At 39.5% G+C, this 17,987-nt stretch overlaps 1 protein-coding gene across 1 annotated transcript in view; it reads left to right on the forward strand.

Annotated features, from left to right (window-relative positions):
• SORCS3 (sortilin related VPS10 domain containing receptor 3) overlaps positions 1–17,987 on the forward strand; it is a 623,953-nt gene that overhangs the window by 333,122 nt on the left and 272,844 nt on the right. The window contains exon 4 of the mRNA NM_014978.3: positions 2,924–3,082. Coding sequence (NP_055793.1) covers positions 2,924–3,082 — 159 coding nt within the window. The remainder of the gene's footprint in view (positions 1–2,923; positions 3,083–17,987) is intronic.

The following is a 17,987-nucleotide window of genomic DNA, read 5'->3' on the forward strand; positions in this document are numbered from 1 at the left end:
GCTCTTCTTGTTTAATTGATCCCTTTACCATTATGTAATGGCCTTCTTTGTATCTTTTGATCTTTGTTGTTTTGAAGTCTGTTTTATCAGAGACTAGGATTGCAACCCCTGCCTTTTTTTGTTTTCCGTTTGCTTGGTAGATCTTCCTCCATCCTTTTATTTTGAGCCTACGTGTGTCTCTACACGTGAGATGGGTTTCTTGAATACAGCATACTGATGGGTCTTGACTCTTTATCCAATTTGCCAGTCTGTGTCTTTTAATTGGAGCATTTAGTCCATTTACATTTAAAGTTAATATTGTGATGTGTGAATTTGATCCTGTCATTATGATGTTAGCTGGCTATTTTGCTTGTTAGTTGATGCAGTTTCTTCCTAGCCTTGATGATCTTTACAATTTGGCCTGATTTTGCAGTGGCTGGTACCGGTTGTTCCTTTCCATGTTTAGTGCTTCCTTCAGGAGCTCTTTTAGGGCAGTCCTGGTGGTGACAAAATCTCTCAGCATTTGCTTGTCTGTAAAGTATTTTATTTCTCCTTCACTTATGAAGCTTAGTTTGGCTGGATATGAAAATCTGGGTTGAAAATTCTTTTCTTTAAGAATGTCAAATATTGGCCCCCACTCTCTTCTGACTTGTAGAGTTTCTGCCGAGAGATCCCCTGTTAGGAGAAGGAAATAAAGGGTATTCAATTAGGAAAAGAGGAAGTCAAATTGTCCTTGTTTGCAGATGACATGATTGTATATCTAGAAAACCCCATTGTCTCAGCCCAAAATCTCCTTAAGCTGATAAGCAACTTCAGCAAAGTCTCAGGATACAAAATCAATGTACAGAAATCACAAGCATTCTTATACACCAATAACAGACAAGCAGAGAGCCAAATCATGAGTGAACTCCCATTCACAATTGCTTCAAAGAGAATAAAATACCTAGGAATCCAACTTACAAGGGATGTGAAGGACCTCTTCAAGGAGAACTACAAACCACTGCTCAATGAAATAAAAGAGGATACAAAGAAATGGAAGAACATTCCATGCTCATGGGTAGGAAGAATCAGTATCATGAAAATGGCCATACTGCCCAAGGTAATTTATAGAGTCAATGCCATCCCCATCAAGCTGCCAATGACTTTCTTCACAGAATTGGAAAAAACTATTTTAAAGTTCATATGGAGCCAAAAAAGAGCCCGCATCGCCAAGTCAATCCTAAGCCAAAAGAACAAAGCTGGAGGCATCACGTTACCTGACTTCAAACTATACTACAAGGCTACAGTAACCAAAACAACATGGTACTGGTACCAAAACAGAGATATAGATCAATGGAACAGAACAGAGCCCTCAGAAATAAAGCCACATATCTACAACTATCTGATTTTTGACAAACCTGAGAAAAACCAGCAATGGGGAAAGGATTCCCTATTTAATAAATGGTGCCGGGAAAACCGGCTAGCCATATGTAGAAAGCTGAAACTGGATACCTTCCTTACACCTTATACAAAAATTAATTCAAGATGGATTAAAGACTTAAACATTAGACCTAAAACCATAAAAACCCTAGAAGAAAACCTAGGCATTACCATTTAGGACATAGGCATGGGCAAGGACTTCATGTCTAAAACACCAAAAGCAATGGAACAAAAGCCAAAATTGACAAATGGGATCTAATTAAACTAAAGAGCTTCTGCACAGTGAAAGAAACTACCATCAGAGTGAACAGGCAACCCACACAATGGGAGAAAATTTTCGCATCCTACTCATCTGACAAAGGGCTAATATCCAGAATCTACAATGAACTCAAACAAATTTACAAGAAAAAAGCAAACAACCCCATCAAAAAGTGGGCAAAGGACATGAATAGACACTTCTCAAAAGGAGACATTTATGCAGCCAAAAAACACATGAAAAAATGCTCACCATCACTGGCCATCAGAGAAATGCAAATCAAAACCACAATGAGATACCATCTCACACCAGTTAGAATGGCAATCATTAAAAAGTCAGGAAGCAACAGGTGCTGGAGAGGATGTGGAGAAATAGGAACACTTTTACACTGTTGGGGGGACTGTAAACTAGTTCAACCATTGTGGAAGTCAGTGTGGCGATTCCTCAGGGATCTAGAACTAGAAATACCATTTGACCCAGCCATCCCATTACTGGGTATATACCCAAAGGACTATAAATCATGCTGCTATAAAGACACATGCACACATATGTTTATTGCAGCACTATTCACAATAGCAAAGACTTGGAACCAACCCAAATGTCCAACAATGATAGACTGGATTAAGAAATGTGGCACATATACACCATGGAATACTATGCAGCCAGAAAAATGATGAGTTCATGTCCTTTGTAGGGACATGGATGAAATTGGAAATCATCATTCTCAGTGAACTATTGCAAGAACAAAAAACCAAACACCGCATATTCTCACTCATAGGTGGGAATTGAACAATGAGATCGCATGGACACAGGAAGGGGAACATCACACTCTGGGGACTGTTGTGGGGTGGGGGAAGGTGGGAGGGATAGCATTAGGAGATATATCTAATGCTAAATGACGAGTTAATGGGTGCAGCACACCAGCATGGCACATGTATATATATGTAACTAACCTGCACATTGTGCACATATACCCTAAAACTTGAAGTATAATAATAAAAAAAAAAAAGTTCCCGGTGCTTAAAAGATGGACATCAAAAATGAAACCTTCTTCTATATGCTTCTAGCCTTGCCCCCTATTTTTACCTCAATTCGACAATGAGAGACTAAATCAGGAGAAAAGTTAATACAAGTATTTTTTACAGAGGCCCAGATGCTCCTTTATGTGCTATGGTGTACAAATACAGATGACTTATTTATGATTAAAGTTATTATATTTATTATTTCCTACTAACTCTGTCTGTATATGTCCCTCTATCCTTTCTTTAGATTATGCTTCTCAGTGATCCTGAGATGGAGAGCAGCATATTGATCAGCTCAGACGAAGGGGCGACCTATCAGAAGTATCGGCTCACCTTCTATATCCAGAGCCTGCTCTTTCATCCCAAGCAAGAGGACTGGGTGCTGGCCTACAGTTTGGATCAAAAGGTGAATAAATACTATTTTCATTTACTTCTTGTCATCCAGGTACCACCATGTGAAAATCACTTGCTTGCTTAATCCACATTTTGGAGGGAATTCAGTGACATTTCATCATTCCAACCCAAATCATTTCATCATTGATTTTGTCTGCAGCAACTAACTTTCCTTTCTGCTCTTAAGTATCAAAATATGTAGACAGGTATATTTCACTTATTGACAATGCTATTATTTCCTTTTCTTTTCTTTTTTTTTTTTTTTTTTTTGACACAGAGTCTCGCTCTTTCACCAGGCTGGAGTGCAGTGGCGCGATCTTGGCTCACTGTAACCTCTGCCTCCTGGGTTCAAGCGATTCTCCTGCCTCAGCCTCCTGAGTGGCTCGGATTACAGGTGCCCACCGCCATGCCCAGCTAATTTTTGTATTTTTAGTAGAGACGGGGTTTCACCAAGTTGGCCAGGATGGTCTCGATCTCTTAACCTCGTGATCCGCCCGCCTCGGCCTCCCAAAGTGCTGGGATTACAGGCGTGAGTCACCGTATTTCACATTTTTAAAATGACTTTCTTTATAATTTTACTCATTTGACCTTATTCAAAACAACCCTGTGAAAGAAGTAGGACATACATAATATTTTATAGTGACATAGTAAACGAAAGTACAGAAAAGCTATGGCTTATTCAAACCCTCCAAGCTAGAAGCTAGGAGCCAGGGCTTAAGTACATGTTATCAGATTCCACCTCGAGGCATATTCCATCACACTATGCCACCTTGATTTGGTGACATTGGAATATACCATTGCTCTTAGTTGAGTTATAGAAGGGAAGCTTCAAACAAAGTCCATTTTGTTATTTTCTAAAAATACATTAAAGATCTAGTGACCCCAATAAGACCTCCTTCTTGAGCTCCAAATACGTATATTCAGCTGCATACATAGCATTGTCTGTCTCTTGTATGCCTCAAAACCTCTCAACTCAATGTATTCTAGAAATGAACTGGAGATCTCGCCCCAGCATAGCTGGCTCTCTTCCAGTATTCCCTATCTCTAGCCATTTAATTGCAAAATTAGAAACCTAGGGAGTATCTTTAATATTTCCTTGTTCTAAACCCACCATCTGTGATCAATCATGGGATCTAATACCTTTTTATTCCATCCACTTCTTTCTGTTACCACTTCTAAATATCTTTTGATTCCATCCTCTTCTTTCTGTTACCACCACTACTCAAATATAAGTTTTGTTTGTCATCTGAACGATTGCTAGAGTCTCTTCCAGTATGTTAATACTACAACCTGAAAAAATATTTCCCAAATATAATGATTGTGTGCCTTTGCTTAAACCCTTCTCACATTTCCTCTTTGTTCACAAACTAAAGACCACAGTCCCCAGTAGATATTACCAGCCCCTGCCTGATCTGGTCCCTCCTTCTCTCTCCTGGTTCACTGTTATCACTTCCCCTTGAATCTTTCAGTTGCTTGCCCTACCTCTGCCCCTTGCTCCCTTCCCTGTGCCTGGAATTCTCTTCTTTAATGTAAGTCTCATCATCGTCAGATCTCAGATCCAGCATCACTTCCTCAGGACACCTTCCGTAAACTCCCTGATGAAATCAAATCCCTTTTGATGTTCTTTTTCGTAGCACTATGTATCCCTCATTCAGAACACTTGTCACAAATGAGATTTTGTGTTGATTTTTGGGGTCATCTGCATTCCTCACTAGATTACAAGCTCTATCTTGTAATCAGTCCTCAGTGTCTATCCGTTAGATGAATGAATTAGTGGATGAATGCTTAAATTCTGTAGTTCTCTATATTTGATCAACTTATACTTAAGAAAAGACATTTTAGATGATTTCCTCTTTGTATTTCCTGACATCTCCAGAATCGTACTACAGTGCTTGATGCCAAACTATTATGTAATAATGTTGTGGAATCAATCAGTGAAAGGAAACAGATAATTCTGAGCACTGTCTTACATAGAGATATCCACAGAACAACCTTGGTTGAAATAGCTTCTTCACTCTGCTCTCTTAAATACTGAAACAGTTGCTCCTCAGTGTATATTTGAATATGTGATTGTGAATTTGTGTTTGTGTGTGTGTGTGTGTGCATGCGATCATGTGATGTCAGCACCTTTAAACAATAATTTCAACATAACCTTTCTATGTCTCGTTAACCAAGCCTCATGGTGGGTGCCAGGTGCTTAATGCCATCCCCTAAGGACACCCACATGACATTTGCAGAGGAAAAGCCACTGCAAATATATTTCTTTCATGGCATCAAGTGGATATTGTATGAAAGACTTAGCCAAATGTCAGATAGTCTGTGACTTTAGAGGCTTAGTATAGCCAGAAATTTTGAAACAGTATTGAAAAAAGTAAATTATTCAGATGTCATTAAATGGTTGGATGGTAATTTATTTATAAGAAGCTCAGACCTCTTAAAGCTTATTTTTATTTCTATAGAGGCAAGCTGGGTTAGAGGCAACAGACTACTCATACCAAGAGGTTGATAAACCAAATGCAATATGTCTCCTGTGTATCTAAGAGTATCCTTTGCCTCCATCTCCACAGCACTGAGAACATCTGGGGCATTGCTCATGAAGTACCCTTATGGATATAATGCATTCAAAATACTTTCAGACTTGGTGGCTGCTCTTTCACTTGCTAAAAATATTTGAAAATGTGGCAGTGGGTGTTGATGGATTTTTCTAATCACACTGCACATTTCTAGATATATTATTCCTTAGGTACTCTTTCTTGTTGACATCTTTTGCGTAAAGTGGCTGAATGTTCTTCAGGCCCATAAAGTTTCTAACCAGTGCTTGGCCGTTCTTCTTTTAAATAAATGATGTGTGAAAGCAGATGATGCCCCTGGCAACACTTGCAGAGATGGCATAAAACACCTAGCCCCAGTCATCCAGGTTGCAGAAGAGTTTTTCTTTATTTTGGGGGTAATTTAGTAGTTTAGAGTCAAGGAGAGTGATGCTGTGCAGCAGCAAATGAAAATGCAAGTGTAGTTGAGATTGATATACAAATGTGTTATTTCAGACTAGAGCCTTCTCTGATGTGCATGCATGAAGGCAGCTGTTTCCTTCTAGAGAAAATGAAAAGTGCTAGTATTAAGGTAACTGCAGCATCAAAGGGAGATGTTTGTGGTGAGGAGTGAATCGATGTTTCCATTATTGTGCCTTTGATGAAATGCACTAGAAATTTCTTTAGAGTTGGTAAGGCTATCTCGTTATGTTGTATGTATTACAAAAGACCTAATTGAATGATATTTTAAAAGGACAGTATCCAATTGCTTTACTTTCCCAAATGCTACCCCAAAGCTACAGAAGACTTGCCAGTAGATCTCACTCAGTAAAGGCACTGCTGGAGAATTAAAGAAATACCTTGTGGATAAAACAAAATTGCATCTAGAAATCGAGAGATGCACATCACACTCTGCTAGTGATATGTGGCTGTTGGGTTGTGAGTTAACTGGGAAACATGTCTACCTGATACCGGCCAAGGCCTGGGTGTGGGGAAGATCTTCTGAGTCCTCCAAAGCTGCAAAGGGGTGGGGGGCAGATGTACCTTCCATTTGACCTTGCTGGAGGGTCATACCTCTGCAATCCTGATGCACCCCAGTCTACTAAAGTCCTTTCTGATTTCTGGTCAGCTTAATTTGGGCATTTGATCAATTCCTTCTCTTCTGACCATCTTATGAGCTTCCCCACTCCTTCTACCTCCCATGCCAGCTCCTTCTCTGGCCTATAGATTCTCCTGCCATCTTGCATTTTAATTTAAAAGGACTCAGTAAAGACAAGAGATTCATTCTTGGGTATCTTTGTAGATATTTTATAAGAATTCCTGAAGTTTAAAAAAGCAGTGGAAGTAATAGGTTATGGTTGACCAAATTGGAAATGACAAAAGAAAAGCTACTCTCCTCCCTCCATCTTAGAACAAAAGCTCTATAACTTCTTTTGAGGGCTGTGTCTTTGTCAGTTATTTAAGTGGTAGGATTCTCTTTTGTTTCCATCAGGCTATTTCCTCACTGATGACTGAAACAGCTTACACTGTGATGTGTTTAGATTAGCTGGAGGGCTCAATAATCTTATTAAAACTGAGACTTTTGGAAAGATTTTGAGATAGGTTTTGAAGACAGTGCAATCCTAGAAATATAGCTGCTGTTCTCATTGCTGTACAGAGCTGAATGTTTAAACATTCCTCATTTTGACAAGAGACTGCAGTTTTTAAAAAAATGGGCACATGCTCATGTATTCACAGATGCATACATCCTGGCACAGGGGGCCTTCCGTAGGAGATGGAGAGCTGAAAATAGCTATTTTTTTTCTGCGTGAGAGGTAGGATTGCAAAGCTCTCTAATACCGTTTATATTCTTGGCAAAATGAAACTTTAACAGATACAGCTGGGTTTGGAGATCAGAGATGAGCTCAATGGGATTGCAGACTCCATTGTTTTCAGACACTTCTGGGCCACAGTGGTCTAGAATTGCCCATAATTTTGATGTAAAAAGCACTTTCTGAAATGCTAGCACACATAATGAAGGGTTGCTGTTATAGTATTAATAGTTGGGGAGTGGGCATGCAGCTAAGGATTTTTGTTGATCACCTCCTATCCGACAAGATCAATAGTAGCTGACGGATTGACAGACTGGTTAAGCAGCTGATGCAGTGTTAGGCGTGGTAGCTGGCAACACAGGACCCAGTACAGAGGAGGTGCTTGTCCCACGCAGGCTTTGCCAATTGGACTGTAACTGGGGCAGGTGCTGGAGTGTATCTGGATTTCAGAGGGCCTAAAAATTCAAAAGGAAATGTAAACTTGACTTCTGGAATGCTGGATCCAAAGAAACTGTGACTTTCATTTATATTCTCATTTAAAACCCTCAGATTAAAAATGTAATTTTGTTGAGATCCTCCAGGATTAGTAGGCGATGATAAGTTTCTCAGTAGCTATTGGCAGAAACAGGCTTCCTGTCTCCTCACCTGGTGGAGATAAAGCTTCTGGGGATTAACTAGGGATGACCATGGCTTTGAAGCTTTTCCTCTGAGGAATATGAGTGGGACTGAAGGGCACTTTTCACTTAAAGAAAAACATTGCATTTTTATTAGGTCCTTTTCCATTCTTATAAAAATGATTTATATATAATTTAAGAGAAATATCTCTAGCTCTGCTCACCTACAGCAAGTGGCCACTGCTCTTACAGGTGTCTCATTAGTACAATGGAGGTGTGCTATCTTCATCACCATAGAAACACCAGGAGGTAGAGCAACCACCTAATGGGTGTGGCCCATAATCAGAGATACCCTGTGATATTTGAATGTTACCACTGATCTATTTGAGCAGAGTTCTGAATGACAGAACTGGTTTAATGTTAGCTATGAACTTGTATTCAGTGAGAGAAGGGCAGTAAGGATCTCCATTCATGTCAGTGTTGTTTTCAAGAACATTCATTCGAATGAACAACCTTTAGCAAAATGTGGCTCTGGTGGCCTGTGTCACCCCAAGCATGCTTTTTCTTTTCTTTTTTAATTTTTTGAAATGGAGTCTTGCTCTGTTACCCATGCTGGAGTAAAGTGATGCAATATTGGTTCACTGCAACCTCCATCTCCTCGATTCAAGCGATTCTTGGGTTCAAGCCTCCTGAGTAGCTGGGATTACAGGCACCTGCCACCAGACCCGGCTAATTTTTATATTTTTATGTAGAGATGAGGTTTTGCCATGTTAGTCAGGCTGGTCTCAAGCTCTTGACCTCAGGTGATCTGCCCTCCTCGGCCTCCCAAAATATTTGAATTTACAGGTGTGAACCATGCACCGCACCCAGCCCCAAGCATGCTTTTTCTATATGATGTCCTAGACTTTCTGGTCTCTTCTTCACCTTCTTGGTGTCCATTTTAGTAACCTGATACATTTATTAGAGGGAAAATCACATTTGCTGAAATGGAAGATACGGCATGTATATGCTTTAAGAAGGGTACTCAGGCAGGCAACAGTACCTTTCCCAAAGCAATTATGTTCCCATGATAGAAATTCAGCCATGGCAGTGTTTTAGTTAAGATAGGTGGCTCCAGCCACAGGTGCTCCAGGAGGTAGAGCAATGCAGCCTCAGGTTTCCCTGTGTACTTTCATCTGCTGCCTCTATGAGCTGACCTTGTCTTTATGTACGTGCTGTTTTTTTCTGTTAATAACACTGCCCTAGTGCTGACTACTTTGCTTGAATCCAGATCCTAGATTTCTCGTTTTCCAGTTGGACTCAGGAATTCTTCTGCTTGTCCCTTCCTTTGCAAGTCCCTATGACCTTAAGCTCTTGTCTGCCCGACCAGGCCAGGCCACTTATGCTCCCTCCATTCTCTGCCTATATCTTGACCACTCACTGTGGTATGAAGGCACCTGGCCTTTTAAACTCAGGGTCATTCTTTCAATTTTAAAAATGGGATTTTAACATACATACCGAAAAGCATACATCTCATGAGTCTGATGAATTTTCATTAACTGAATACACTCATGAAACCAGCAACCTGATCAAGAAACACCACTGGCATCTGAGAATTACTTGCGTGCTTTTTCAGCCACTACCTTCCACCCTCAGTGGAGCCACTCTCCGTCAAGGTCATTTTTTATTTCATGCAGACAAACTAGGAAAGCAACAGATAGAAAATAAGTTTTCTCAAAAGAAATGTTAGAAGGTAGCAAGGGAGGTAAACAATAGAGAAGAAGAAATACTTTAAATGTTAATATTAGAGAACTAGACTAAACCAAATACAAGAATTTATTGACATTCAGTAATCCCAGTTAATCAAGAAAATTCATAAGGACAATTTGAAAAAATTTTCATTTAAAATTAACAGGTTTCAGTTTTTAAAATGTATCACTTTCTGTACGATAATTATAATACCCAGTGTCGGGTATTATATTTTGAAATAGTATTGATGGGTGTGCAAATGAATTTTCCTTCCTGGAAAATATCTTGGCAATATATATCAGAAAACATACACATATTCATAACTTTAACCCAATGGTTCAGTTCAGAAGCTCTAGGCATAACAATGCTTATCAAAGTCATTTATAATGGGAAAAACTAGGAAGAAACTTACTGCCTAACATTAAGGGACTTTAAATTATGGTATATACATTTACTGGGGTATTATGCAACCATTAAAATAGTGACCATAATATCCATGTAGCGACATAGGTATATATTAATACCTATTAAATACATACAGGCGTATCTTGGAGATATTGTGGGTTCAGTTCCAGGCCACTAAAATGAAGCAAATATCACAATATAGCAAGTCATGTGAACTTTTTGGTTTCCCCATGCGTATAAAAGTTATTTTTATGCTATACTGTAGTCTATTAAGTGTATAATTGCATTACGTCTAAAAAATGTACATATCTCAACTTAAAAATACCTTATTGCTAAAAAATGCTAATGATCATCTGAGCCTTAAGCAAATTATAATCTTTTTGCTGCTGGAGGATCTTACCTTGTTATAGATGACTCCTAAGGGTGGTGGTTGCTGAAGACTGGGGTGGCTGTGGTGATTTCTTAAAATGAGGTAACAGTGAAGTTTGCTGCACTGACAACTCTTCGTTTCAGGAAAGATTTTTCTGTAACATGCAATGCTGTTTGACAGTTTTTTACCCACAGTATAACTTCTTTCAAAATTGGAGTCAATCCTCTCCAGCCCTGCAACCCTGATAAATCTTGCTTTATCAACTACGTTTATGGAATATTTAAAATTCTTTCTTGTCATTTCAACAATGTTTACAGCATCTTTACTAAGAGTAGATTCCATCTCAAGAAACCACTTTCTTGGCTCATCTGTAAGTAGCAACTCCTTATCTGTTCAAGTTTTATCATGATATTGCAGCAATTTAGTCACTTCTTCAGGCTCCACTTATAATTCTACTATTCTTGCTATTTCTACTGTGTCTGCAGTTACTTCCCCCACTGAAGTCTTGAACCTCTCAAAGTCATCCATGAGAGTTGGAATCAACTTCTTTCAAGCTCCTGTTCATGTTGATATTTTGATCTCCTCCCATGAATGTTCTTAAAGGCATCTAGAATGATGAATGCTTTCCAGGAGGTTTTCAATTTACTTTGCCCAGATCCATCAGAGAAATCACTGTCTATGGCAGCTATAGTCTTATGAAATGTATTTCTTAAAATAATAAGACTTGAAAGTTGAAATTTCTATTTGATCCACGGTCTGCACAGTGGATATTGTGTTAACAGTCATGAAAATAACAATCTATTTGTAAATCTCCATCAGAGCTCTTGAGTGACCAGGTGCATTGTTAATAAGCAGTAATAGTTTGGGAGGAATCTTTTTTTCTTAGTAGTAGGTCTCAACAGTGGGCTTAAAATATTCAGTAAACTATACTTAAACAGATGTGCTGTCATGCAGGCTTTGCTGGTCCATTTATAGAGCACAGGCAGAGGAGATTTAGCATAATTTTTAAGGGCCCTAGGATTTTTCAAATCATAAGTGAGCATTGACTTCAACTTAAAGTCGTCAGCAGCGTTAGCCTGGGTGAGTCTTCCGTCCTTTGAAGCTTTGAAGCCAGGCATTGACTTCTCCTCTCTAGCTGTGAAAGTCCTAGATGACACTGTCTTCCAATAGAAGGCTGCTCATTGAAAATCTTGTTTTGTGTATCCGCCATCATCCATGATCTTAGCTAGATCTTCTGGATAACTTGCTGCAACTTCTCCATCAGCACTTGCTGCTTTACCTTTCACTTGTATGTTATGGAGATGGCTTATTTCCTTCAACCTCATGAACCAGCTTCTGCTACTTCAAACTTTTCTTCTGTAGCTTCTTCACCTCTCTCAGCCTTCATAGAATTGAAGAGAGGGCTTTGTTCCAGATTAGGCTTTAGCTTAATGGAATGTTGTGGGTGATTTGATCTTGTATCTAGACCACTAAAACTTTCTTTATATCAGCAATAAGGCTGTTTAATTTTCTTATCATTTGTGTGTTCACTGGAGTAGGACTTGTAATTTCCTTCAAAAACTTTTCCTTTGCATTCACAATGTGGCTGTTTGGCGCAAGAGACTTCACTCTCAGCCTCCTGGCTTTCAACGTGCCTTCCTTACTGAGCTTAATCATCCCTAGCTTTTGATTTAAAGTGAGAAACATGCAACTCTTTCACATGAACACTTAGAAGCCATTGTAGGGCTATAAATTGGCCTGATTTGAATGTTGTTATGTCTTAGGGAATAGGGGTGCCTGAAGACAGGGAGAGAGATAGGAGAATTGTCAGTAGATGGAGCATTAGGACACACATATTTATGGATTAAGTGAACCATTTTCTACAGGTGTAATTTGTGGTGCACCTATACAAAACAATTACAATGATAACATCAAAGAACACTGATCACAGATCATCATAACAGATATAATAATAATGAAAAAGTTTGCAATGTTGTGAGAATTCCAAAAATATGGTGTAGAAACACAAAGTAGGCACATACTCTTGGAAAAATGGTGCTGATAGACTTGCTTGATGTAGTTGCCACAAACTTTAAATTTGTAAAAACCCCAATATCTGTGAAGCACAATGAAATGATGTATGCCTGTACGCATTACATATTACATATATAAATATATACAACTGCGTACATAATATATATTAAGACATACTTTTAAATACAAGTATGCAAAAAATAAGGTAAGGTAAAGAAAGGAAGGAATGAAGGACGGAACGAAAGAAGGAAGGAATGAATGTAGGAAGGGAGAAAAAAGGAATGAGGGAGAAAAATTATTTTAAAGAATGGAAGGAAATATTCCCAAATACTAGCTAGGTCCGTTAAGATGATGGAACTATGTTTGTGGGGCTTTTTTTTGCATACCATTTCTTTTCCAAATTTTTTATTATTTCATTACATTGCTTTCATAATTAAAAATTCTTTAAGTAATATACCATGACTAGTTTATGTTTATCCTAGTTATAAGGCAGTGCTCTTAAAAAATGCTTTAGATGTGAATGGGGCTGATTTAGTAAAACCCTTTCAAATCATTATTTAATCCCTTTTCAAGAAGGAGTATGTTGTAGAAGAAAATTTCCCTGAACTAAAATATGCAGCCTGAGATTTCTCTTTTCTTCAGCGTTTTTTTCACTGTCGTCCTTTTAGAACTCTGAAATTCTAGGAATATTTTTTTTTCTCCTAACAAAAAGTGTACTCTTGTTGGATGTAACCTCAATCTATATTATTTACAACTCAGCAACAAATGTAGGGTTTATTATTCAGAACGCACCCACCATAGGTAGATGTTAAGGAAGTGATTTATTCTGGTAGTTTTTCAGATGAATTTTCCGGCTCCATCCCAAAATTGAATTAGTATTTGCTTATTTGCTTTGACAGCTGTAATGGAAATAAATGATTCTGGAGCCAAGGGGTGTAGACAATTCTAATGCATTGAGCTTTGAGCCTAGGAACTCTTACATGCCCCATGTTACTTTACTCAGAGTTGGACGTATAGCTGCTCCTTGGAAATAGAGATACATGTCCTGAAGTACCACCTTCCCATGTGTGGCACTGACAAATTCTCTCATATATGTGATTATGTTGAATTTTCATAAGCAGCTGCCAGGTAGATATTATTTCCAAGATACAGAGGAGCATATGACTCTTGAAGGGCATTCTAACTTGTTCAAGGTCACACAGCCAGTGAGGGGACTGCCTGCTCTCTATCCTAGGCCTGGCTGAGGTACAGCCACCACACCCCACTCTTCCTGGTTGATAGGTGGGCTTTCCCTTGCCTTAAGACAGAACCGCATATGGGCCACTTTTACGCTGAACCCCAGCTCCAGAGAGCACAATAGAGTAAGACAACAAAATCAGCCATGTGGAAACCAAACCTTCAAATGAATCCAGTGGTTCTTATGGCATATTTCTCAGCTGGTGGCAGTTTCTGGAGTGGGACTTTGAGGGTAGAAGCCATCAGACTGCTTGCTGATGATAAGACATAGGACTAATTAATTCTGCCTCAAGCAAAAAATAAACAACAACAAGGCAGTTGTGTTTTAAGGGGATTTTGTCCAGTTTTGTTCGCTTTTCCCATTAATTTATTCAAATCTTTGAGTTAATATATAGATTAAACCAAGGTGTTTGTCATTTAAATAGGTAATACTATGATCTCAAATTTTTAAAGGAAGCTTTTGGAGACAACATCTTTAATATGGTAATGAAGAGAGAAGTTGAAATCATGTAACTTCATTTACAAATCATGAATATGTATTATGCTTTAAATGAAAAGAAGGACTAAAACAGATATAGTGTTTGTTCAATTTGCTAAAGAGAAGACAATTTGTCAAGATTCTTTCCCCAAAACTCAAGCAATATGCAAATGTAGGAAAATCAGACCCCCGTGTTAATTCCATGGCATGATGAATATTTTTATAATCCTAATTAGTACCAGTCATTTAGTCTAGCAATTTCCCCCAATCTAGCCAATTTGAAATTAAAATAGATGCCTTGATTACAAAACTCATTAGCAAAGAAGCACCCTTCTCACTAACCAGTTCATTTAAAATGCACAAACTGAATGAAGTGTGGAACACTTGTGTTGTCAATTGGCATAAGTGAAGTGAGTCTTAATTGGAAGCATTGTGAAGTATTTGTATTGCTGCGTGTTTCATTGCCGTATAATATATCATTCATTAAATGTAACAAAAGCAACTTTTAAATGGTTTAATTAAACGGAGTTTGTGCACTTGGTAATTTTTATAAAATCAAATGTCACAATTGTTTGCATTTGAAGTACTGACAGGTATTAATGTCAGGAAGATGAAGTCTGACTCTGCATGTATCACTCAGATTATGCGAAGAATGGCAGGTTTAATGTGAGAGGAGAAAATTAATTATAGAACATTGACTTCTTACTTAAAAGTACCAACGTGCATATTGTCCTTGTGAATTTGGGCATAGGAATTTCAGAACTACCTGATTTATGGCTGGAAATGGAGTGGAAGGGCCTGGCAGAGGACTAGGAGTGGAATATAAGGAGAAAATAACAGTCTGGAATTTTTCTTTTGTAATTTCATTTTTAATCAAGGGAGGAAGTAGTAGGTGGAGAGAAATGCTATCCTGTGTATTTTCATCTACTCCAAAGAGCAATAGAGATGTGTAGCAATGCAGACTGATGTTCTGTCTAAGCAGAATGTGATGCAAGTGGGATGGGGGAGGAAATTGGCTTCAGACCAGGGAAATGCTGCAGATGGGGACTCCACAGAAGTCCCGAACTGAGGCCAGAGAGCAAGGAGTTCAAGGATGATTTTCCAGTGGAAGAGGAGGCACAATGGGCTGTAATAGTGGCTGTTCTGTAGGCATAAAGTATAAGGCAAATATAGAAGCTGAGGTTCCCCTGATGTTTCTTCTCTGTGTAATGCAGGTGTCAGCTGTTGCCTCATATTTATGTTATTTCAACCCACTTCAACAAGGAGGCAAAACTCAGCCATGTCACTGATTTCTGTGAGAAATCCCATGTTAGCAGACACTGTTGATGTCCTGCCTATACCCACTAGATATTTCTATTCTAGTGTGCTCCTGCTGATTTCTGACTGCCAATATTTGCATTTCTTTGCCTGAGGGCTTTCTCTGAGGCCTCTGGAGGCTACTCTACCCCTCTGTGCAGAAAGCTATAGAAGTACCTGGGAATTAGGGGCAGCCTTAGCCAAAGATAGCAGAATTTGGTGTATAGATACCTCAGCTCTTTCACTGTCATGTGTGGTAACTCTGAGACATATGTCTTATACTTTTTATCTAGAATTTCCCAATGGAATGAAACTCTAGTTGCCCACAAAGTTGGCCAGCTTCGTAGCACCACATATTGACTGCGTTCTCTTACTTGGGTAATTTTCTACTTTAATACCAATGGGTTTTATTTTTTCATCTCCCAAATAAACTACTTACACTCTAGTCCTTGGCTTGGGGCCTGCTCCTGGGGAGACTCTAACCAGTTGTGCCAAATATTATGTGATCTTGGTGGTGGTAGCGGAAGATTTGTGAGGTCAAGGATGGGGATCACAAAACCTAGGTTTCCACCCAGGAATTACCCTTTGACATTTCTATGTTCCTAATCTCTCCTGAACCCCTCCAACTCCCCAGGCTGTCCACCTGGGACACCTGTGAATATGTTACTCTAGGGAAAAAGGGACTTTATAGAGGTGATTAAGTTTTATCCCAGATTATCTTGAGGGACCCAATATAGTCATAAGGGTCCTTTTAAGAGGGAGGCAGGAGAATTAGAGTCACAGAAAGATGTTACACAGAAGCAGAGGTTGCTCTGAGCTCTTTGAAGATGAGGACTGGCTGGAAAAGGCAAGGAAATGGTTTTTCCCCTGGAGCCTCCAGAAGGAATGCAGTCTGGCTACCTTGATTTTAACCTCATAAGCCTCATTTCAGACTTCTCACTTCCAGAGCTGTTCTAGAATAAATCTGTGTTGTCTTAACCACTAAGTTAGTGGAAATTTGTTACAGTAGCAATAGGAAATTAATACACTTACCAGCCCTTCCCTTGGCTTCACTGGACCTCCTGTCCCAGAGCAAGCAAAATCAACTGCTTGTCTCCACCAGCTTCTTGAAAGCCCAGGCATCGACTGACCCAGAGACGGTGCATCCAGGACATACTTTTGACTCCAGTTTCCATTGATCCCTGTGGTCCTGAAATAAGAAAAGTTTCTCCTTGCGGGTGGAAAAAAAAATGTTCTCTATATTGTTTACTTATTGTAGCAGTTTGTTTGGGGTGCTATAGCAAAGTACCACAGACTGAGTGGCTTAAACAATAGAAATAGACTGAGTGGCTTAAACAATAGAAATGTATGGCCTCATGGTTCTGGAGGCCATACATTTCTGAGATCAAGGTGTTGGCAGGGTTGATTTCTTCTGAAGCCTCTGTCTTTGGCTTGAGCATGGCCAGCTTCTCTCTGCATCTTCATAAGATCTTTCCTCTATGTTTGTCTTTCCTCTACGTGATCTTTCCTCTATGTCTTTCTATGTCCTGATTTCCTCTTCTTCCTTTTTTTTTTTTTTTTGAGACAGAGTCTTGCTCTGTTGCCCAGGCTGGAGTGCAGTGGTGCGATCTTGGCTCACTGCAACCTCTGCCTCCTGGGTTCAAGCAATTATTCTGCCTCAGCCTCCCGAGTGGCTGGGACTGCAGGTGCGTGCCACCATACCCAGCTAATTTTGTATTTTTAGTAGAGACAAGGTTTCGCTATATTGGCCAGGCTGGTCTCGAACTCCTGACCTTGTGATCCGCCCACCTTGGCCTCCCAAAGTGCTGGGATTATAGGCGTGAGCCACTGCACCTGGCCGATTTCCTCTTCTTACGTGAACATTGCTTATATTGGATTAGGGCCTGCTCTAATAACCTCATTTGAACTTATTTACCTTTTTAAAGACCCAGTCTCCATATATAGTAACATTCTGAGGTACTGGGGGTTAGGACTTCAACATGTGGATTTGTGGGGATGCATTTCAGCCCATAAGACATATGCATGTCAAGGTTGCTGAATAATGAAAGTCTTATTGCCCTTTGTGTCCCTGCTGCCCTGTGTGAGGGGGACAGTAGAAGTCTCTTCCTGCTGTGTAGCATGAGATATTCCCGAGACATATGGAATGGAGCCAACCACCAGGAAAATTGGCAGTAGGGTGTAGGGGAGGGAGCAGGGGGTAGGGCTTATTTCTGAGATGGAAACCAGATCCATGTGAGAGGCCCTGAGCCTGGTCAGGAAGATTCCAAGCTGGTCTTTGGCCTTGACCCTGGACAAGATTAGGAAATCATGGAAGACACAAGAAAAAAGATGGTGCCCAGACCATGAGGACCCCTTGGAAGAACATCGAGGGATCAGAGTCTAAAAGAAGTCTCAGATGGAAACTCGTATTTTAGAACCATGGCTATTTGTTGTATAAGC

This window comes from Homo sapiens, chromosome 10 (assembly GCF_000001405.40).
Source record: "Homo sapiens chromosome 10, GRCh38.p14 Primary Assembly".
Taxonomy (NCBI): Eukaryota; Metazoa; Chordata; class Mammalia; order Primates; family Hominidae; genus Homo; species Homo sapiens.